At 39.7% G+C, this 23,529-nt stretch overlaps 1 protein-coding gene and 1 long non-coding RNA gene across 17 annotated transcripts in view, besides 1 other annotated feature; one reads left to right on the plus strand and one right to left on the minus strand.

Annotated features, from left to right (window-relative positions):
- The window catches only part of LOC105378286 (uncharacterized), a 47,291-nt gene extending 37,124 nt beyond the window's left edge, over positions 1-10,167 (plus strand). Inside the window, exons 2-3 of one of the 2 annotated variants that reach the window (XR_945919.1) lie at positions 8,138-8,318; positions 10,129-10,167. This is a non-coding gene — a long non-coding RNA (uncharacterized LOC105378286). Of the gene's footprint in view, positions 1-8,137; positions 8,319-10,066; positions 10,104-10,128 lie in introns of those variants that run through there. The other variant, XR_945920.1, reaches the window with a different exon arrangement.
- The window catches only part of MARCHF8 (membrane associated ring-CH-type finger 8), a 140,323-nt gene that overhangs the window by 46,814 nt on the left and 69,980 nt on the right, over positions 1-23,529 (minus strand). The gene's annotated exons all lie outside the window — the stretch shown is intronic.
- Positions 1,977-2,477: an enhancer, noted in NCBI's record as "H3K4me1 hESC enhancer chr10:45998823-45999323 (GRCh37/hg19 assembly coordinates)". NCBI's record gives its function as "activates a minimal SCP1, AML or CMV promoter by ChIP-STARR-seq in primed H9 embryonic stem cells {active_cell/tissue: H9 hESC(primed)}" and the evidence as "EXISTENCE:reporter gene assay evidence [ECO:0000049][PMID:30033119]".

Raw genomic sequence — 23,529 nt, forward strand, 5'->3', positions numbered from 1 at the left:
AAGAAAGCAATTCAATAGAGGAAAGAGAATTTTCAACAAATGATGCTGGAACAAAGCAATGAACTTTGACTTGAGTCTCAAACTTATACAAAAATTAACTCAAAATAGTTCATGGACTTCATGTATAATCTAAAACCATAAAACATTTTAAAAAATAGGAGAAAATCTTCAGGATTTAAGGTTGGGCAAAGAGTTCCTATACTACACACCCAAAGCAGGATCCATTTAAGAAACTGATCAATTAAACTTCATCAAAATCAGAAACGTTTGCTCCATGAAAGACCCCGCTAAAAGGCTGAAGATAAAAGCTATAGCCTGGGGGAAAATATTTGCAAATGAATATCCAATTAAGGACTAGTATTTAGAATACAGAAAGAATTCTTAGACCTGAACATTTTTAAAAATCCAATTAGAAAATAGGCAAAACATGTGAAGGGACATCTTAATGAATAGGATACTCAGATGGCAAATAAGCACATGAGAAGATGTTCAACATCACTGGCCATTAGATAAATGAAAGTAAAATCACAATGAGATATTACTACACACCTATCAGAATGGCTAAAAATTTTTTTTTAAATAATGACATCACCAAATGTTGAGGATATAAAGAAACTAGATCACTTATATATTGCTTGCAGGAAAATAAAATGACAGTTATCCTGGAAAAAACTTTGGAAGTTTCTTTAAAAATTAAACATGAAATAGCTATTGCTCTCCTGAAGATTTACCTTGGAGAAATGAAAACACATGTTCACATAAAAACCTATAGGTGTCTATAGCAGCTTTGTTCAAACAAATGTCCTTCAACAGGTAAACGGTTAGAAAACTGTGGTCCGTGCATAACATGGAAAACTACTCCACTAGTAAAAAGGAACAAACTATTGATAAACACAAACCTGGAAGAAATCTCCAGAGAATTACACTTAATTTAAAAAGCCAATCCCAAATGGCTACAAATTATTCCAAACAGTAAACGAGAAAGTACGGTGCTGGCAAATATTTGAAGAAATTTGTTAAAATTTTCCCAAGTTTGGAGAAGGACATAAACCTATGCATTCAAAAAACTGAATGAACTACAAGAAACCTATGCCCAGGCATACCATAGTCAAATTAATGAAGACAAGAAGAAATCTGGAAAGCAGAGAGAAAAAAAGGATGCATTACTTATAGAGGAACAATGATTCAAATGACTGTGTCTTGCTCATCAGGAAACCCTCAAGGCCAGTAGTCAGAAGTAACATCATTTTTCAAATATTGACAAAAGAGACCTGTTTACCTAAAACTAAGTATGTGGTGAAAATATATTTCAGGAATGAAGGGAAATAAAAACAGTCACAGACAAAGAGTAACAACAAGATTAGCAACCAACAGAACTGCTTAAAAGAAATTCATCACATGGAAGGAAAATGATACCAGAAAACAATGTGTATATCAGCAATAAAGAAAGAGCAACAGAAAGGCTAAGCATTCAGACAAAAACAATTGACTATTCTTTTTCTCTTGATTCTTTACATTTGACGGCTGAAAGCAAATAATAATAATAATAATACATTCTATGAGGGGCTCTGAAGGTATGCAATGTAGAATGTAAGATAACTGTAACAGAAAGGGGGAAAGTGAAAGTTGTGATATATTTTCTATATTTTAGCGAAGTTTCTACACTACAATTGAAGTAGCAAAATACTGATTCTAAATAGACTCTGAGAAGTATGTATTTTGTAACTCATTTTTTAAAAAGCAAAGAGATAGTCAAACTCCAAATAGATAAATATAGCAACAATTAAGTGTACATAAACACTGCAATTACAGGACACAAATGTGGAGAACTGACTTTTTAAAAAAACAACCAATTATGGCCGGGCACGGTGGCTCACACCTGTAATCCCAGCACTTCAGGAGGCTGAGGCGGGCAGATCACGAGGTCAAGGGATCAAGACCATCCTGGCCAACACGGTAAAACCCCGTCTCTACTAAAAATACAAAAATTAGCTAGGCATGGTGACGTATGCCTGTAATCCCAGCTACTCAGGATGCTGAGGCAGGAGAATTGCTTGAGCCCGGGAGGCAGAGGTTGCAGTGAGCCGAGATATCGTGCCACTGCATTCCAGCCTGGCGACAGAACGAGACTCCGTCTCAAATAAATAAATAAATAAATAAATAAATAAATAAAATAAAAACTAAAAATAAATAAAAAACAACCAATTATATGCTATCTATAGGAAACTCGTTTCATTGATACAGGTAGTGTAAAATAAAGGAATGGGAAAATATATACCAAGCAAACACAAATAAAAATTTCCAAAAGGTAGAAACAACTCAAATGTCCATCAACACATAAATGGAGAGACAAAATGTGGTATTATCCATACAATGGAATATTATTCAGTCATTAAAAGGATATAAATACTGACACATACTACAATATGAACCCTGAAAACATTATGCTATGTATGTAAAAGAAGCCAGTAGCAAAAGATCATATATTATATGATTCCATCTATATAAAATGTCAAAAATAGGCAAATCCACAAAGACAAAAAGTAAATTCGCAGTTACCAAGGATTGTGGGGATGGGAGAATGGGGAGTGACTGCTAATGGGTAGAGGGTTTCATTTTCGGGTGATGAAAATGTTCTGGACTGGCACAGTGGTGGCAGCTGTACAACCTTATGAATACACTAAAAATCTACTAATTGGGCACTTTAAAAGGGTGATTTAATGGTATGAAAGCTGTATCTCAACTTTTAAAATATACTAAGGTCTGGCCTGGCACAGTGGCTCACGCCTATAATGCCAGCACTTTGGGAGGCCGAGACGGGCAGATCACCTGAGGCTGGGAGTTCAAGACCAGCCTGACCAACATGTAGAAACCCCGTCTCTACTAAAAATACAAAATTAGTGGGCAAGGTGGCACATGCCTGTAATCCAAGCTACTTGGGAGGCTGAGACAGGAGAATCGCTTGAACCTGGGAGGCGGAGGTTGCGGTGAGCCGAGATCGCGCCATTGCACTCCAGCGTGGGAAACAAGAGCGAAACTCCGTCTCGAAAAAAACTAAGATCCAAAAAATAACCTATGATGTATAAAACACTGTGCTATACACCTTGTTTTTTCTCCAGTGTTTTTTCTGTATAAGCTAATCAATACAGGACACCAGCTATCTAATTACAAGCCATTAGCACAAAGCTAGCACTGGATATTGGAAATTTAAGTGAATGGACACTCACTCAGAATCTAACAACAAAACACCATACAGTATGAATTTCATTCTTATACTGTAAACATGGTGAATAAATATAGCCAATTTTCTTTCTAGATGGTGTTTCCTAAATTTAAAGAGGATACTAATGACTATAATCAGAGCTAAGGATGTCAAGATTCATGTTCGCGTATCTGGCATGTTTAAAAGAAAAATATGCCAATTTGCTGAAAATACTGTCACTTTTAGCACTAGTATTTCCCTTACTGCGTCCCTCTTCCTCCTGAGTAGGGGCTTATACTGAGTGGCCAGAGATCATTAACAATTCCGACATTCTACAAAGGTGGCCCTACATTCTGCATTTCTACTTTTATAAGAGACATAAATTTCATTTTATTGCTCATTTCGAGCTGTTAATTATATATACAATTAAGCACTTATGCCTTCTTGCCTTTAATCAAGATCTCACTGTTCAAAAAACAAGACATATTATTAATCCAGCTACTCCTGAATAAGAAAGAAGGATTGCCTACTTCACAGCACAGGATCAAGACCCGCCTTGATGGCTCCCTCCATGGCTCAGTTTGTCCCTATCACAAATCAGAGTTTCCAACACTATTCTCTCCTTTACCTTCCCCTGAAGAGCCCTAAACTTCTCAGCATTGACTTTCAGTAGGATTGGGTCCCCACTCCCAGTCCTAGGGGTAGACACTATCCTAAAACAATCCCTGTGGCAAGAGACTGCCTGACTTCACTTGTATCTATTAAGCCAATTTCACATATTAGGGTCTGTTACTTGCAACTACCCAGTTGCTATCGCCAAATTCTGTTACAGTTAAGTTGCTATCCATTTATTTGTTTTTAATCAATACCACAGGCTTGTAATTAATGCCAGATGTGATCTAGTTACTGTTTAAGCCAGAAAACTTCTGTTTCCCAGCAACATTCTACCCCTACTTTTTCCCACAGTGACTGGTTGAAGAACAAGATAACATTAATTGCTTTAGGCCAATTAGAGCCATCTGGAGCTACAGGTGATTCTATCCTATTCAAACCACATGGCTGTGAAATTTGGGACCTCCAACAAATTATTTCCCAATGGGGATTCGGTTTTATGGTCTGGCCATTTTATAAAAATCTCTAATCTTTGTGAATGGTTTAATGGGTGAGCAACTATAAATAGTCTGGTTTGTTAGTTTTTTTCTGTTTGTCTATTTGTCTGTTCTCACCACGAATCAATTAAGAATTCATGCTCACTGGGAAGAGAGCAACTCTTTGACACGGACTGATGAGTTTTATAATTCTGTATTTGCCATGGCCCCATAGTTGAAATTTCAGAATTGAAGTCATAAACTCTTTCCGCATCTGCGTGTCTATGTGTAATTCAGAAAGGCTGTTGTCTTTCAATGTGTGAAGGTGCAATAATTTTCTACCTCAGAATGGGATTAACAAATTAGATTATAAAATCTACTACATTATGAAATCTCTTAAAGTAATATATTCTGATTTACTCATAGAGGTAAATAAGTACATATATAAACAGAATATTCCTAAATTTCCCAGAAAATAAGGAGGTTGAAGATCTAACACTTTCAAGAAACCAATTATTGAGCTGTATTAAGAAATCAAGTTCACATAAAAAAAGCAAATCTTTGGAAATGGGACCAGTTTAATATTTATGGTTTAAAAGAAACAGTTGTATCTTTACTGATTTATCAATATTAAGTATAAGCATAGACTTTTATTCTATTTGGGTACGTCATTCATAAACCTATACAGGTTTACTGATTGAATAAACTAGCGTTACTTCTACTTAATGTCTAAGATTATGGAAAAGGTAAATTTGTGTTCAACCAAACAAAATCATTATTCTGATGACCTTGTATTTCAACAGTAATTATGTCTTGCAATATATCAGCTTGAAGACAAATTTCCAAGATCTTTAGGAAACTTAAAAACTCGAACTGGTATCAATTTGAATTAACTAATGAATATGCACTCAATACTGATCTCATTTCTAAGTAAGACTGAATATTGAGACATTTATAACTAAGCATAAATTTAATATTGTCACGCACGTCCATGTGAAGAGACCACCAAACAGGCTTTGTGTGAGCAAGAAAGCTTTTTAATCACCTGGGTGCAGATGGGCTGAGTCTGAAAATAGAGTCAGCAAGGGGAGTTGGGGTGGGGCAGTTTTATAGGATTTGGGTAGGTAGTGGAAAATTTTCACTTCTTTTGTGATTCTTCAGTTGCTTCAGGCGATCTGGATGTATACATGCAGGCTTGGGCTCAGAGGCCTGACAAATATACTTGTTTCTTATTTTTATATGCTACAAAGAGGCTATGTCTTTGGCTCTTTTAATCAGTTAAATGTGTTCATTTTTGCCACTCTTGAGACTTGTACACAATGAAAGTGTACACACAGTTAAAGTTGTGTTAGCTCTGGATGTTAGCTCTGCTAGTTTGCTAAAACAGTGGCATGCAACAGCTCACAATTATCCACTCCCTAGTTTTCTCTGTGTAATAAAAGTTACTTTGGCTAAAAGTTATCAATAACATGTGAATGAGACTACTAGAACAATGGTGGCAGGCAGGTACAACACTACGTGTGAGGTAGTAGGATGGGTTTTGTTTATTAAGGAAAAAAAAATAGTTTTGTCCTAAAATAAAAGGGCTGGTTGTTCCAGAACGAGAAAGAGGGTTGTCTCAGTCTGTTCGCATTACTATAAAGGAATACCTGAGGCTGGGTAATTTATAAAGAAAAGAGGATTATTTGGCTCATGGTTCTGCAGACTATACAAGAAGCATGGTGCCAGGATCTGCTTCCAGAGAGACACTCAAGAAGCTTCCCATTCATGATACAGGGAGAAGGAGAACAGAGATTACAAGGTGAGAGGAAGGACGACAGGTCAAGAGAGCAAGGAGGGAGGTGTCAGGCTCTTCTTAATATGATCTCAGAGGAACTAAGTGAGAATTTATGCATTACCCAGAGGAGGGCATTAAGCCATTCATGAGGGATCCGCCTCTATGACCCAAACCCCTCTCAGAAGACCCTACATCCAACATTGGGGATAACATTTCAATATGAAATTTGGAGGGGACAAATATCCAAACTACATCAGCTGTAAAGGACAAAAATTGATATAGAAAGTTGTAGAAGATTTGAGAAAAGATAATTTTACTTGCCTTGGCCAAAGTTAGCTCAGTTTTGAAAAAAAAAAAAAAAGATTTTATAAAAGTGCTTGTAGTTCCTGTAGTATCAAATATTACACTGATACAATACTGGAGTTTGGTTTTCTCTGTTGAAATTAGAAAATTTTCTTGGATTATTGATCTGCCCTTAGTAAGAGATTGTAAGATATCTGCTGTATAAATAACAAAGATTCTGTTTTACCAAAATAGTTTTCTGTGCTTTTCATGTTGATTGTACAATGTCCTTGATTAAATATTTCTCACTTATGAAAGAGCCAAATGCTTTACAATCATGTAACCTTCACTTTATTTTCAAATGTTTGGATGTCACTTTGAAATGAGTAGGAAAGTATTTCTCAGGCACCTATGATCTGATTCCTAAGTGTTGAAATCTCCTGGTAACTTTTCATTTATGTCTTTACAAATTCAAATCCTAAATGTAAAATAAAATAAAAAATTTGAGATACTTTTGGGACTAAAACTGTCTCTGAGATTTATAAGAGGGCCCATGAAAGAGGACAAAAATTTATTCTTTCACAGTAAAAAAAAAAAAAAAAAAAAGTACTGGAAACAATTGTGTTTGTTACTATTGATGAAACTGCATGGGAGGAATTAGCAAATCAGAAGAGATTTGTCAATGCTCTCACTGTCATGATTAGTTTCTATTTATCAAAGTCCTGATACTCTGCACTGTATAGCTGTTATCACTCTTATGTTTTAAAATGTTAACTTGGTTACAACTTCACTTTTCAAATGTGAATGCAGCATCTTCTGGGCCAGTGGTTTTCAATTAAGGATTCACATAATTTACTATGGAGATGGAGTTTCATTAATATACAGAAGCTTAGGACCCACTCCAGACTTACTAGATCTTTTCACTTGATATTCTGGATACATTATTGGTACATAATATCTAGGATTATTGCTATATTTCAAGATTCATTTCTCTGTAAAGTTTATGCTCATCTGCTTTTATAAATCAGATATAATATTACATCCTTTAACTATAGAGTTCATTATTACATTTTAAATTGTTTAAAATTTTTTTATTGACTTTATTATCTTGTTTTGCATGTCACAGAAACCAGATTTCCTTGTCAGTTATATTTTTCTCAAACTCTCATCAGATCCTTCATTTTTTGAAAATGATCAGTAAAAAATTAACTGCAGCCATTTTAAATGTTTTTATCTGCAGACATCTATTTGTTGCTGTTTTATTCTGATGTTTCCCTCAGAGCCTTTTCAATCAGCTACAGGCCAGAAGGAATCAGAACCCCATGGAAAAGGGCTATGCCAGGTACTTTGGGGCACAGGCTTCTAAATGACATTGCTTAAACAACTTTCAGACCATACCAGTGGCCTAAGTCAGAATTTCCAGGACTCTTATGAGGAAGCCGATGGGTTGATAATACTACTAACCCCACATCCAGTGGAACAAAAATTAACTAGATATGGCTGAATGAGCTAATGAGGGATGACTGTAGTTTTTGTCTGGAATATTGTTGATGCTGTTTGAATGTATTTTCCAGACATATAAGGAAGCCTTTTCTCTTTCTTCTTAAAGCTATCTATAACTCATAACTTAGTAGACTCTGCTTTTGTATACTGAAATGAAACACTTGTAAACATCTTATTCTCCCTGCTTGAGCCCTCCAAAGTTCAGAAACGTAATAAATATTCTATTTTCAGGGCAATAAAGTTATTTGCATAGATTAAATAAGAATCTGTCCTCTTTTTTACTAGGACATAAGTGGAAATATTGGTTTTGCAACTAAACTCACATTTGAAAATGATGCTCATTCAATCAAATATGACTAAACACTTTTAAGTGTTCTGGAACTAAGGAACTAAGACTGCCTTTACAGAGTCATCCTTACAAAGCCTTCTTTGGAAAAACTGGCTTACAGAGTTCCCAGCCTTGCAGGTGAGTAAGAAAAGCCACTTCCTGGGAGGCCCATGAGTCTTAGGATATTTTAGGGACCTCAAGAAATGAGGAATTCTTATAAATAAAACAGGTGAAATCTGATATAGAGTTATTGGCATAGCTTCCTAGCCTTAAGATCACTAGTAACAAGAGGCTTTAAAAAATCCAATCTGAGATTCCTAAAGAAAACGTGCAGCAGAGCAAACTTAAGAACTTTAAGGAACTTTTAACACTCTTGCTGTGCCCAGCTGAACAACGCCTGTAATCTGGGGAAAGAAGACTAAACATCTCATACGTGCCTGACTTGAAGAGTAGCGTAGGGAGAAGACAGAATGGGATAGAGTAGTACAGTCTCTCAAATTTTTAAACAAATTCTAACATCGGGAGGTTGGAAACTAGAATTATTCAGCTTACAGATGCTTTCAGCTTGTGCACAGAGAGAAGGCCATGTCAAGACATGGAGAGAAGGCCAGCAAGAGAGGCCACACCAGAAACTGCACACTGCGAGACCCTGATCTTAAGACTTTCCTACCTCCAGAACTTTGAGAAAATGAATTCTATTATTTAAGCCATGCAGTCTATGGTATTTTCTTATGGCAGCCCAAGCAGACTAATACAGTTAGTAAAATAGATTTGGGAAAATTATGACATAATCTACATCTATCTCAAACATAAAAGGAAAAGCCAAGTCGTCTTAAGGAATAACAAAAATGGCATAAAGTACCATTTTACAAGAAGTTCAATTTTGAAATAAAATTTAGTACATATTTTAGTCACTAAAATTTTAACTCAGGAAAAAAACAATTACATCACAGAAGTCAAGACAGGAAAATTTATTTCTTATAAAACTATATTTCAACAAACTAAGGTAATTTATTTAAAGTAACGTCAAAATGCATCAATATTTGTCTTCAGTATAATAATATAGTCCAAATTTCTAGTAATGTGATTATCTGTTTCCACCACTGCTTTCTTTTTTAAACCTCATTGTGGCAATAATGAAGTTAACAAGCAACTAGAAAATATGAAACAACCAAGCACAAGACCATAACAGCCACACATTTGTTCTAAGCCATTCATCTAGGGTCTCTGGATTTCAGCTTTCTCCTCTATAAAGTGGACTATGTGGAAGTGGAAGGAGGAGGAGAGTAGAGTTAATGAAGATGACCCCTTTGGTTCCTCTGAGAGTCAAATATCTATGGGGAATATGTTGCCCTGCTTAGCGCTGCTCAGCACCACACACTGCAGCTGAAAATTCACCCTTAAAGTTATGAAAAAATGGATTTATAGTTCCCCAAGCCTTTCTAATATAGACTGATAAATTAAATGCTTTTTAAAAGTTACATATAACATATGATTAGAATCATAATATTTTAGTAATGTACTGAAGAATACAATCTTTTCCAAATGCTTTCTCCATTAAGTATTTTTCATTTTCATTTTCTGAATATGAAGTAAGGGTTTGCTAAAAACAAAGGTCTTTGTATTCATTGCTGACTTTTTAAAAATCTTAATTATACATTAGTAAAATGAACAGATAAATTTCTGCCATTTTAAAATAATGTATCCAATAAATACACGAAAACCTTGAAATAATCTATGTCAATATAAGTCAGAATTCATTTGCTGTAAAGGTTGTTATAGAAATTATAACACTGTGCCCTCTCCCTCTCCCTCTCCCTCTCCCCACGGCCCACGGTCTCCCTCTCCCTCTCTTTCCACGGTCTCCCTCTGATGCCGAGCCGAAGCTGGACTGTACTGCTGCCATCTCGGCTCACTGCAACCTCCCTGCCTGATTCTCCTGCCTCAGCCTGCCGAGTGCCTGCGATTACAGGCGCGCGCCGCCACACCTGACTGGTTTTCTTACTTTTTTGGTGGAGACGGGGTTTCGCTGTGTTGGCCGGGCTGGTCTCCAGCTCCTAACCGCGAGTGATCCGCCAGCCTCGGCCTCCCGAGGTGCTGGGATTGCAGACGGAGTCTGGTTCACTCAGTGCTCAATGGTGCCCAGGCTGGAGTGCAGTGGCGTGATCTCGGCTCGCTACAACCTCCACCTCCCAGCCGCCTGCCTTGGCCTCCCAAAGTGCCGAGATTGCAGCCTCTGCCCGGCCGCCACCCCGTCTGGGAAGTGAGGAGCGTCTCTGCCTGGCCGCCCATCGTCTGGGACGTGAGGAGCCCCTCTGCCTGGCTGCCCAGTCTGGAAAGTGAGGAGCGCCTCTTCCTGGCCGCCATCCCGTCTAGGAAGTGAGGAGCGTCTCTGCCCGGCCGCCATCCCATCTAGGAAGTGAGGAGCGCCTCTTCCCGGCCGTCATCCCATCTAGGAAGTAAGGAGCGTCTCTGCCCGGCCGCCCATCGCCTGAGATGTGGGGAGCGCCTCTGCCCCGCCGCCCCGTCTGGGATGTGAGAGCGCCCAGCCGCGACCCCGTCTGGGAGGTGAGGAGCGTCTCTGCCTGGCCGCCCCATCTGAGAAGTGAGGAGACCCTCCGCCTGGCAACCGCCCCGTCTGAGAAGTGACGAGCCCCTCCGCCCGGCAGCCGCCCCGTCTGAGAAGTGAGGAGCCCCTACGCCCGGCAGCCACCCCGTCTGGGAAGTGAGGAGCGTCTCCGCCCGGCAGCCACCCCGTCCGGGAGGGAGGTGGGGGTCAGCCCCCGCCAGGCCAGCCGCCCCGTCCAGGAGGGAGGTCGGGGGGTCAGCCCCCCGCCCGGCCAGCCACCCCGTCCGGGAGGTGAGGGGCACCTCTGCCCGGCCGCCCCTACTGGGAAGTGAGGAGCCCCTCTGCCCGGCCAGCCGCCCAGTCCGGGAGGTGAGGGGCGCCTCTGCCCGGCCGCTCCTACTGGGAAGTGAGGAGCCCCTCTGCCCGGCCAGCCGCCCAGTCCGGGAGGGAGGTGGGGGGGTCAGCCCCCCGCCCGGCCAGCCGCCCCGTCCGGGAGGTGAGGGGCGCCTCTGCCCGGCCGTCCCTACTGGGATGTGAGGAGCCCCTCTGCCCGGCCACCACCCCGTCTGGGAGGTGTACCCAACAGCTCATTGAGAACGGGCCGGGACGACAATGGCGGTTTTGTGGAATAGAAAGGGGGGAAAGGTGGGGAAAAGATTGGGAAATCGGATGGTTGCCGTGTCTGTGTAGAAAGAAGTAGACATGGGAGACTTTTCATTTTGTTCTGTACCAAGAAAAATTCTTCTGCCTTGGGATCCTGTTGATCGGTGACCTTACCCCCAACCCTGTGCTCTCTGAAACATGTGCTGTGTCCACTCAGGGTTAAATGGATTAAGGGCGGTGCAAGATGTGCTTTGTTAAACAGATGCTTGAAGGCAGCATGCTCGTTAAGAATCATCACCACTCCCTAATCTCAAGTACCCAGGGACACAAACACTGCGGAAGGCTGCAGGGTCCTCTGCCTAGGAAAACCAGAGACCTTTGTTCACTTGTTTATCTGCTGACCTTCCCTCCACTATTGTCCTATGACCCTGCCAACTCCCCCTCTGCGAGAAACACCCAAGAATGATCAATTAAAAAAAAATAAATAAAATAAAATAAAAAAGAAATTATAACACTGTAACTGCTTCCTACAGTGCTATATGAGCAAGTAACCTTTCTAGAAAGACAGTTAATGGTCTTTAGTGCAGAATGTACTCATTCAGAAACACGTTTATTAACCACCTACTATGAGCCAGGTACAGGTCCAGCCCCTGCGAATGATGAGTGAACAAAACAAAGATCCCTGCTGTTGTAGAGCTTATGAAAACAGTGTAGAAAGAGATTGTCCATTTTCTCTGGTTGTCTCAGAGCTCAGGGCTTGTGTTCAGGGGATGTTTGTTAGAGTTTTAAAACTATAAATGATATATTTACTGATGAAATAGTGTATTCAATTTGGCCTGGATTCCTTAATACTCTGGCTCTTTTCATCTTTGCTATTTGCATGTCCCCACAGCTCAAGAACATCTCATAGCCTCAGCAAAGTTAACAGAGACGGCATCCACAAAAAATCAGACAGAGGGAGCAAATGGCAACACTGGAACAGCCCTGCCAAATGAAATTACATGTCTGGCTTACACACACACGTGGGAAATAATACCACAAAACAGAACAAAGACCCTTTGTTCTGTCTTCTATGCATTTTTCCACCCTATGAGAAGCTAAAAGATCTTCCCAGAATGAATGCTCCAGCAGAAAGAATTGGAGTGGCTTCTGAAAACAACACTTCCTCTAGAAAATAGCAATAGAGCCTGAAGGTGCGTTCATTAAAATTATGAACTCAGTTGTCTTTCTCAGGGTTTTTCAAAGCCATAACTCCATAATTTAAGTGGGCAATATTATATCAATAAAAAAGATTTTTTTACATCAAGAATAAGACGATACATTTAAAAATGCTATAATCTATATGTTTAAATGCTTACTGGCTTAAGAATACTTTTCGCAATTTCAAGAAACAGTTTTGTTAGAAACAAAGTACATCATTGAAAATGAAATTAAAATTAAACTGCTAAGTTTTTCTGGCTGGGAACCTCAAGAGTGAGGCATCCTTGAGCAACTCTGGGTTCTACACGTCTGTTCCATAAAGCCTAATGGCATCCCTGAATCAGTGAGAAACCAGGCACAGCTGACAGGGCACGTCTCCTACCTGAAGCTTCATTTTCCAACAAGAATGCATTGGTGTGCGCTCAGTGCAGCGCTTCCCCGCAACATGGTCCCTGTGCTTGATGCCGGGGAACAGGCGCTGCCTGCACAGCAGCTGCCACCCTACAGCTGCCAGCAGCAGCACATGGCTGGCTGTCGCAGCTGGACTTGTGAGGGCTTGCTGAAGCCCTCAGCATACCACTCCTGCCATCAAACTGGACTACTTCCTCCAGCTGATTTTCAAGGAACGAGGCAGTGAATGAATAATTCATGACAAGTCCATTCTAGCAACCAATTTCACCTCTGCCTATAGTCTCCCCATAGCAATCTGCAATGTAACGATTCTAAGACTTACTTGGTGCCATACAAGGAATGAAAGCTCAGTTTCCCGTCAATGACAGTAAATGTTACAGGATCTGTTTGCTCTTCCTGTGTGCCAACCTGTCACCCAGACTTACTTGAAATATTTTTTTTAATGTAGAAAAGCTAAATGATTAACCACAGATGTCTGACAGAACAAAACAAAATTTTTTTCCCCACAAAACCCACCCTACATAATGAGTTCTGGATGCAGAAAAAGCAGCAAAATGCTTGCCCTGTGATCAGCAGGTCAGTATTTACATTTAGTAAAAGATCAGTTCCTGCAGACCATCATCACAGGGTGGGGGAGGGGAGCTCTGCGTATCAATGCCAGGAAACAAACTGCTTCAAGGAGGAATTTTCCTGGTTTCAGGCTATAAATAAATCGTCCATCTCATTGGTATTCTTCTAGGAAGTACATGAATATTCATTTTCACCAATTTGTCCATGCTTACATATTTCCAAATGAGTCATATCTAAAGAAGTCAATTTTCTGCAACTTAAAATCATCATTCCAAGACAAACTTGAACCAGAGAAGGGAAGGCCAATAATGGTATCATCTCAACTGCACCTGTAGGCAGTCCAATCACCTGTAATGTTCTCCACCTGTTTCCCATAGCCGTCCTTTTTTCTCACTGCTGCAATGTTTTCTCTTCTGAACTCACTGTAAACATCTCAAGCTTTTGCTGTCACTAAGGTAATTTTTCAGCCATGAGTATTCTGTTCCTCGCTGCTTCTAATTTATTTGTTGTTCTGCAACAAACAAGTTCCCCAAGTGTTTCTTGCCCTTGTATTTTCCCTTTTCACCTTCTTCTTTTCACCTATTTTATCACTTCTGAACTTATGTTTTATAAACTTCTAGTTCCTATTATACTATTCCACAGTAGATAGGAATTCTCTTCCTTTTTTGCAGGGAAATAATGATTTCTTCCAGTACAGACTCTGCATCATTCCACAAGCACTGAGCCTTTCACTGTCCGGACATGTGTACAGAGGCCTCACCAAGTCCCCTCATTGCCTTCCACTTCACAAGGACATTCGATCTGGCTTGTGTGTGTGTGATGCCGTGTTGTCTAGGGGAACCCTTCCTCTTCCAGCTATTGGGAGCTGATGCCGCATTCAAGCAGCTTTCTGCAGGCATGCTGCGGAGAGGGCAGTTCATGGTGTGTGGTAAAGAGACAAAGGAACCAGTCTCTATTGAAAGCCCTAACTCTGTTCTCTTCTCCCAGGGATATCCTTTTCCTCAACATTCTGTAATCCCCTCAATGTCTTACGAGATTTCATGTCCACCAGAAAGTGTCTAGCCCAAGTTGTTCTCTTCCCCTTTTGAAGTGACATTCCTTTTTCTCCAAATCCTGACCACCCACTCCCCTACCCCATCCCATGAATGAGAGGATAAGAGGGCCTATCACCTGAGGCTCACAATGTGTCCCTTCTTCCACTTCCTGTTCTCTACAGAGACTTATTTCCTTGATGTTCTCTTTTGCCCTGCGTTCTGCTAACTCCCAGTTTCCTGATGAAGATAATCAGTTCTAAGGTTGATCACTATGCTTCTTGTCTTCTCTACTTCATTCCCAGCCTAGACACAAGAGATCACTAAAACAGTGATCTCCAGTATGTTTCATTTTGCTAATTATTTTTTGTAGAGACAGGGTCTTACTATATTGCCCAGGCTGGTCTCAAACTCCTGGCCTCAAGAGATCTTCCTGCCTCGGCTCCCAAAATGGTAGGATTATAGGTGTGAGCCACTGTGCCTGGCTCAAACTGATTGATTATTAAGAATCAAGTGTGGGCCAGGCACGGTGGCTCACGCCTGTTAATCCCGGCACTTTGGGAGGCCAAGGTGGGTGGATCACCTGAGGTCAGGAGTTCGAGACCAGCCTGGACAATACAGCGAAACCCTATTTCTACTAAAAATACAAAAATAAGCTGGGCGTGGTGGCACGTGCCTGTAATCCCAGCTACTTAGGAAGTTGATGCAGGAGAATCGCTTGAACCTGGGAGGCGGAGGTTGCAGTGAGCTGAGACTGCGCCACTGTGCTCCAGCCTGGGTAACAGAACAAGACTTTGTCTCAAAAAAAAAAGAATCAAGTGTGGCTAAGAGTGCTCAAAAAAATCCTCAGAATTAACAGCGACATAAAGATCATTTAGTCCAACCCAATCCAGAGCCTCAATCCTATAAAATGGCAACCCCAGCTGTTTCTCTCAACACTCCCAGACAGCTCTCCAGTCACCTGCCAAGGCAGCTAAATCTATTCACTCTGCTAAAATATATGTATGTACCTCCTTATTAACAGCCAGGCTCACCCTTTGGCCTGCAGTATGTATGGGAACACTGGATTGTAAAAGCAAATTAAAAGGACAGACAGTTTGGCACAATGGTGGCAACAGTGGTGAGTAGCACAACAAGAAGTCAAAACATGGACACCAAATTTCCCTGGAGTATCAGCTAGTTGACAGTAGAGTTGTGAATCCACTAGCACTTAACCAAGTTATTAAAAACTTTTCTTATGGACTATACACGTGAACAATTCTACCGATGTTTTAGGGCCTCCTTCCATTCCCCATCCCAAGAATAGTAATATGAATATAATGTAAAAAGAGAACCTCTTAAGAAGGGCTCAAAATAGTTTGGATATTTGTCTCCACCAAATCTCATGTTGAAATTTAATTGCCAATGTTGGAGGTGTGACCTGGTGGGAGGTCGACTGGATCATGGGGGCTGATCCCTCAGGAATGGTTTTTACCACCATCCCCTTGGTGCTGTCCTCATGATAGAGTGATTTCTCAGAAGATCTGGTCATTTAAGAATGTGTGGCACCTCCCCAGACCTCTTGCTCCTGCTCTCGCCATATGAGACAACACTCTCCCTCTGCCTTCTGTAAGCAGCCCAAGGCCTCACCAGAAGCTGAACAGATGCCGGTGTCAGGCTTCCTGTACAGCCTACAGAACCACGAGGCAATTAAACCTCTTTATGAATTACTCAGTCTCAGGTATTTCTTTACAGCAACAAGACAGCCTAACATAAGGGCTTAGAACTGCTATAACTAAAACTTCACACAAAAAGACTCTGGAATACAGTGCCCTTCACATTTTCTTGTATACCTTCATGAAAGTCTATATTCTCCATGTCCTCCTTAGCAGACTGATGTCTGGGTGAACAAATATATAACACAGGCAAGGATTTGCAATGTTTTTTCATGACAAATGTCAAACAAGCATAAGAGACTGCTAGGCACTATTAATTGTAAGTGATAAACTAACCCTCCAATTTTAAGATGATCGTGATCTTAGCAATCTATGTTTCTTGAATATTTTAAGTTAAAACTTAATTTTTTTGCATTATCAGGTACTTCTCTCAGAGACTAGGCTTCCTGGCAGCTAATACAAGAGGTGATGAGTGCACATCGTATCTCAGGTGTCTCATAAAGAATTCTGGTTGCTCTTGGTTGTCTGAGATAAAAGGCCTGATGACTATGGAGGGGCAGGCTTTCATAAGAATTATCAATGAAGGCAAGGTGATGGTTATCAGGCAAGTCCTTCCAACCTTCAGAAGAACTCTGAATTAAAGTTGGACTGACCCCTGAGTATCTGTGATTCTACCATCACAGTGCCACATCAGTACAGAAAAGAGAGCTCCGATGACACAGAACGCAGTTTGCAGCTTGATGACATGTGTATTCTCGCACTGCTGACATTACAACCAAGACCTCAGAACTCTTAAGACAACAGCAATGGTATGTCCTTGAGGCAGCAGGAAAGTATCAACAACCTACCTGCCTGCAGTTCACCCATTCATGGATTTTCCCTGCCTAGACTACTGCTCTAAAGACTCTGATCTGAAGAACTTTTGCTTTCCATGATCTTCAAAACCTGCCTCCTCAAACACTGCCCAATACTCTAGACGAGATATCCAGTTTGCTCTGACCTTTACTGTACATGTTTGGTCCTTCCAGAATATTAGGAGCTTCCTCAACTCCTAACAGATTGCCCAAGGGAGCATCCTGTGGAATGGAAATCCGTTTCCACATTATCTCTGTAATGCCAATCCTGCTGATCTCAGTTCAGCAGCAAACTGTAACCCCTGGACACTGGTATGGTTCTAGAGCCCTCTTGTAACTTTCAAGAGCATTCCCAAAGCTACCAGCATCCTATCATTGCTCTTGGCCAGAATGGCTCTAATAAAGCATGTATCATACACTAATCAAAATGGCTTAGCTTTTAAACCACTGTACTTGTGAGAGGACCTAGTAACACCTTCGTAACACTTCCTTTGTCAGTGTTACAAAAGAAGTAACAAGGATCCCACCACCTTGTAAAAGCTCTAAAAGATATGCTGGAAGGGAGTCTACACACACAAAAAAACTTCTGACAGATTTCACCAACTGCTGTCTTTTTCAATTTGATCTTAAAATGAAAATATAAAATATGTGAGTAAAAATTTAAAGTGCCATTCGTAAAGGATTGAATATATCTTCATTCAAGCATGGGTATCATGTGGATACCATCCCTTTGTTCATGAGTAAGGTATCATCTGTACAATAAGGAGTTCCTACTCTATTACATGAGATAAACAGGTAAACAACTAACAGATATGACTATGTGGCAAAACTAAATAAACGCCATATCAGAGATACAGATGCTAGTTTCTTGTATCCTCCCACTACCACCCATCCATCCACAATGAGAACAGAAAGGAAGGAGACATAAGGGAAGGTTTGGGAAGTCAGTAAGTAGACTACTGCAATAATCTAGATCAAGGGTCAGCAAACTTTTTCTGTAAAGAGCCAGAGAGGAAATATTTTATGCTTTGCAAGTCATATTCTCTATTACACCTACTCAATTCTGCCATTGTCAGACAAAAGTAGTCACAAGGAAATGAGCATGGCTCTACTCCAATAAAACTATATTTATGAAAACTGAAATTTTGATTTCATATCATTTTCATGCATCGTAAAATATTAATCTCTTGACTTTTCTCCAACCATTTAAAAATGTAAAAACCGTTTTTAGCTGGCAAGTCATAAAAAACAGCAGTGGCTGGATTTGGACCATGGGCTATGATTTGCCAGCCCCTGACCTACACGGCTGCCTGAAATACAGCAGTAGCACCAGGGCAGAGAGGAAGGACAAAGAAAACATTTCAGAGGTGGAATCAGTAAAACTTATTGATGAGTGGCGCATTAAGAGCAAAGTCGGCAAAAGGAGCTCCCTAGTTTCTAGCCCAGGTGACTCAGAGGGAATGTCATGAACAAATAAGAGCAGCAGCTCTCCTTCACCTGAGGAGGACAACAGCACCTGGAGTGCACCACTCACTGCCCAGGTGATGAGAACTACGCACTCAGCAGCAGTGACCCAAGACTCAAATCCCACCTCCATCAGTTATCACATACCCAACCTTTTTGATTCTCAGCTTCCAAATCAATCCATAAAGTGATCATGACCACAACAGTAATGCCTACTTCAAAGGGTTGCTGTAAGGATTCAATTTAGTGAGTTAACATATGGAAAGTCCTTGGGACAGTGCCTGGCTCACAGTAAATGATATGTAAGTGTTAGCCATTATTCGAAATATAAAAATTTTAATCCATAAATGTTATAGAGGCAATTTATAAATACCATATGTTGGCCTACTTAAATACAGTAAAAAACAGTATTCACAGTAATAAACATTCTTAAGCATTTAAACCATCTGTGAATACTTGACATAGTATACAGCATTATTTAAGCTAAATAATATCAAATTAAGTTCCTTTCATACTGGGGAAAAAAATCAATGCTGAAGTAGTGCTGGCCAGGATAAACTGTACAAAGGTATGTGTGGTTCAGGGTAAAGCAAAGTCAGTCTTGAGAGTTAGAATGGGACGAGGGTCTAAAACAGGTGACAAGTACAACTGTGGCCTGGGCTAGTCACCAGATTTCTGGGGGACTCCATCAGGCGCTTTTCTTATGTTCTAAGAATTTACCTAGTCTACAAGTTCCATTCTACCACACGAGGGGGCGTGAAGCAAATACCAATGTGAGATTAAAACCTGCTGCAATTACTGTACTTCTAAAAACAAATCAGTCTGACAGCAAGAATGTAATTACATTTTTTATTAGGAGATAGAAAATACAAAATATTTTATGAGGATTAAATATAATTGGAATATTTTCTATGATTTGATAAAAAGAAGCATTAACTACTTTGTTGAATGATACACATTTCAACTGAAAGAAATCACAAAATACTTTTAACTTTGTTCTTTATCTGTAATATCTTGAAAAGTTGCTGTTCAAAGGTATATTGCTTTCTAGTTAATTACCCATCGTAGCAACTAAACCTGTGAACAGCTAAAAAAAATAATCAACTTATCTTTAATTACGTTACATTTTTTAGAAAACTATTTTCATCACTTGAAACTCACTCTGCTTTGCTTTTAAGGGTCTTTTCCCCAAAAGTTCTTCATTGAAGAACAATTGATGGGGAATGAAGTCACTTTTATAAATCTACCTATGATATATCTGAATCCAGAATGTGCCCAAATACCTTCATTTTGAAGCCTCTTGAATAAGACAGGAAAAGATAAACTGCCTAGGCAGGTATACCATGATTTGATTAAGCAGTAAAAAAGATTACCCAAAACCAGTAATTCCAAGTATTCCTTTGTTTGATGACCTGATTTTTATTCCCTAGAACAATGCAGCATAGCAAAATTAAGAGACATAGTAAAATGTAGGGGCCTTTCCTTCTTCAGAGTCGAAAACTAGCTGCTCAGAAATGTGGGTGCATGAACAGTTTTAGGCTCAAGTGTATGTGGAAGGTAAAGATCTGAAAATGGAGTCGTTAAAACTGCCCATGCTTCTGCTCCTTTTGGAAAGTCTGCCTGTGCCTCCCAGACATGGTGCAAACCAATGTTTACATAAGATAACAAAAAATTTGGAATTAGATTTAAAATTATATGAATACCTAGGAAGTGTGAGATAACTTGCCCATTGGCCTTTAAATTATTTCGTATAATTTACTATTTATTATTGTCTACTGCGACGCTTTCTTCAGCTCACTTTCGGCAAGCATAATCTTTTATTTCCCAAAACTTTTGATTTGAAAAACTTTAAATCTACAGAAAAGCTAAAAGAATAGTACAATGAATACCTGTCTGTCCTTCACCTAGATGCATCAACTGTTATAAAATCTGCCCATTTACTTTTTCTTTCTCTGATATACATATTCTGATGCATAAAATTAACTGTAATTCTATCATTATTATCTAATATATAGAAAATATTCAGCTTTCCCAGTTGTCCAAAAAACACACCTTACAGGTATTTATGTTTTTAACATGTTCCACCAAGGTACACATATTACACTGGTTGTCTTTTTAGTTTTTTATAATCTAAGACAGTCCTCCCACATTTTTCTGTTTTTAATGATAAACAACTTTTTAAAGTCAGGGGTTCAAGGTTCAAATTTCCCCCAAAAAACTCTGCATATTAATTTAATAAAATAATTTTTTCAGTTATTATCAAAGTTTTGTTGGTAAAAGATGCTAGCCTTGTGACTGTTAGATTTGGGGTGACAACTCTCAGTGGATTGGTATGGGAGGGCCACTGAGGCCTGAAGGACACTATCTGGGAGTGGACACACTGTGGGAGTGACTATCTCCCACAAAGTAACCATTTCATCTCCACCACTTTCCAGAAAATAAGCAGTCTCCTCCAAGTTCAGTAAGAACCCAAGGTCACACTGCTAATTAGATGAAAAGACCTTTGCTCTCAGGGAACAGACATCTACACACCTTGGGTAACAATCCTGGGGTGTAATACAAATCAGTTGAGCACATCTTTCCCAATTTGGGTGTATGACTGCTTAGAAGTGCTAATTACGTACACAGCTAGTAATACATAAACACTACCTTAATCATCCTAAGCCTAACTCAAAACCAAAGCCCTGAGGCAAAAGATGCTATTAAGATGTCCTTGTAATTCTACCACTGTTCATGTATTACCTGAACAGTGTGAATCCAACAGCAGTGCCCTGCTCTGCTTTTTAAAAAACAGGCTTCTGAAATGTGGTAAATTGAGTTCTTCAGAAACAAACATGAAAAACACACAAATTCGGCATTAGGATGACTGGATGAAAGGGATGACAGTTCATTCCCTATGCAAAAGTGGTATGGAAGATATAAAACATTCCAAGCCAGGTGTGATGGCTCGTGTCTATAATACCAACACGTGGCCCCCCAAGTGAGCTATAATTGCACCCCTGCACCTCAACGTGGGCAACAGAATGAGACCCCTGTCTCTTAAAAACACAAAACTATTTGATGCACAAATGAATGAAAAAATATGTGTGTGCAGTCTATATTCATGTGCAAGCATTTTTTTAGAGGAAACAAAACAATATGGAAAAAAATATACAGTCAGGCATTTATCTTTGGTGCTGTTTTATTCATGTGTAAAATAAGGAAGTCATCTCAATAACATCACATATCAAAAGCCATTAACAACGATTACAGGACACTAGGACTGTAGTATTATTTACTGCAATCTCTGCATTAAAAAATAAATTAGGGGCCCAATAGGGTGGCTCACACCTATAATCCCAACACTTTGGAAAGCCAAGGTGGGAGGATGGCTTGAGGCCAGGAGTTTGAGGCCAGCCTTGGCAACATAGCAAGATCTCATCTCTTCAAAATAAAAAATTTAGCCACATGTGATGGTGTATGCCTATAGTCCCAGCTATTCAGGAGGCTGGGATGGGAGGATCACTTGAGCCCAGCAGTTCAAGGCTGCAGTGAGCTATGATCATGCCACTGCACTCCAGCCTGTGAGAGTGAGACCCAATCTCTAAACTAAATAAATAAAAACAAAGAGTGAAAAATAAATAAATATATTTGAGTGGTTTTCTTATTTTCAAGTTACTGACAGAAAATCTGAAAAATTATCTGCCACCTAGTTGTCCAATTCACACAGGACAGCTATAAGAGAGTAGTGACAACCAAGAAATCATAATCATCAAGTCCTACAGTGATACCTAGACAAACGTATTCATACACCACCTTGACTCAACTTATATGCAACACACTGAAACCAACTGCAAATGCTTCACTTACCGCACAACCAGACAAGACTCTTGGTTTTACCTAGATTATGTACACTCTTAACTAGCAAACTCTCACTAGACCAACATCCACAGAGGTCAGCTACAGTTATTCTGTGCATTCCTTCCATCTCTAAACTCTAAATAAATAAACAGCAAACCATTACCAGTTCTCAAGTTTTACGTGAGAATTGGCTGATATAGGTAAGCTGCTAATATATAAAATAGCTGGAATCGATATTGTTGGCTTTTTACTAAGAATATTTAAAATTGCAGGACCTCAAAGTTGCACATAATTTTATCTGCATTTAAGCTTCAAAAATCTATATATGCAAAAGAAAATGTAGATGTAGCCGTTCAAATGGGTCAACCTGAATTTAATGTTTTATAACAGCATACTCTTTTTTAATCTCTAGAAAAACATCAAAACTTCTCTTTATTCTCAAAGAAAACAAGCCTACAAAGCAGAAAATGACCATTTAGTAAAGAAGTCATCTTTGGTTCTTAAATGTTAAGCATGCTACAACTTTCTATACATGTTTGAGCCAACTAGGAGATACTTCCAAGGGGTTTCAGAGATCGCTGTGATTACCAAATAGGAAAAACACGCTTGGAAGCAGAAGTGAAAGACTCCAGGGAGCAAGAACAGGTAAACAGGTGACAAAGAAATTCTGGTTTCCAGGTATGAGAAAATTAATCTCTTGTGGCCCTTGCAGGTAAGGTAGATGGATGATTCAAGAAGCCACGCAAATGATCTCACAGATGGTGATGCCTAACCAGACAGTAATCTGCAACAGGTTTATTTTAAAGATGCATATTCATCTCTTCATGAAAACATACTTCTATAAAAAAGCTAGAAATGGTCTAAAAGACAGTAACTAGAATGCTGAGAGACCCAACTAATAATACGTGATTATAAGGGATTTTTATCCTGCAGAATAAGACTGGCAGTTCCTGGAAGCAAAAAGTAAAAGTGTCAGTAAGAGAAAGCTACAGACAGTTTGGTCTTATACTGTATCTCAAATCTCTGGTAGCCCAAAAAAAAAAGCACAAAACAACCGCCTTTCGAAGTAGTGGGTTAGCATCAGGGCTGATGCCCTAATGGTGCCCTAAAAACAAACTGGCCATGATAATACAGAGTAGGTTCAAGCATTAA

The sequence above is a fragment of the Homo sapiens genome, chromosome 10, assembly GCF_000001405.40.
Source record: "Homo sapiens chromosome 10, GRCh38.p14 Primary Assembly".
In the NCBI taxonomy this organism is placed as follows: Eukaryota; Metazoa; Chordata; class Mammalia; order Primates; family Hominidae; genus Homo; species Homo sapiens.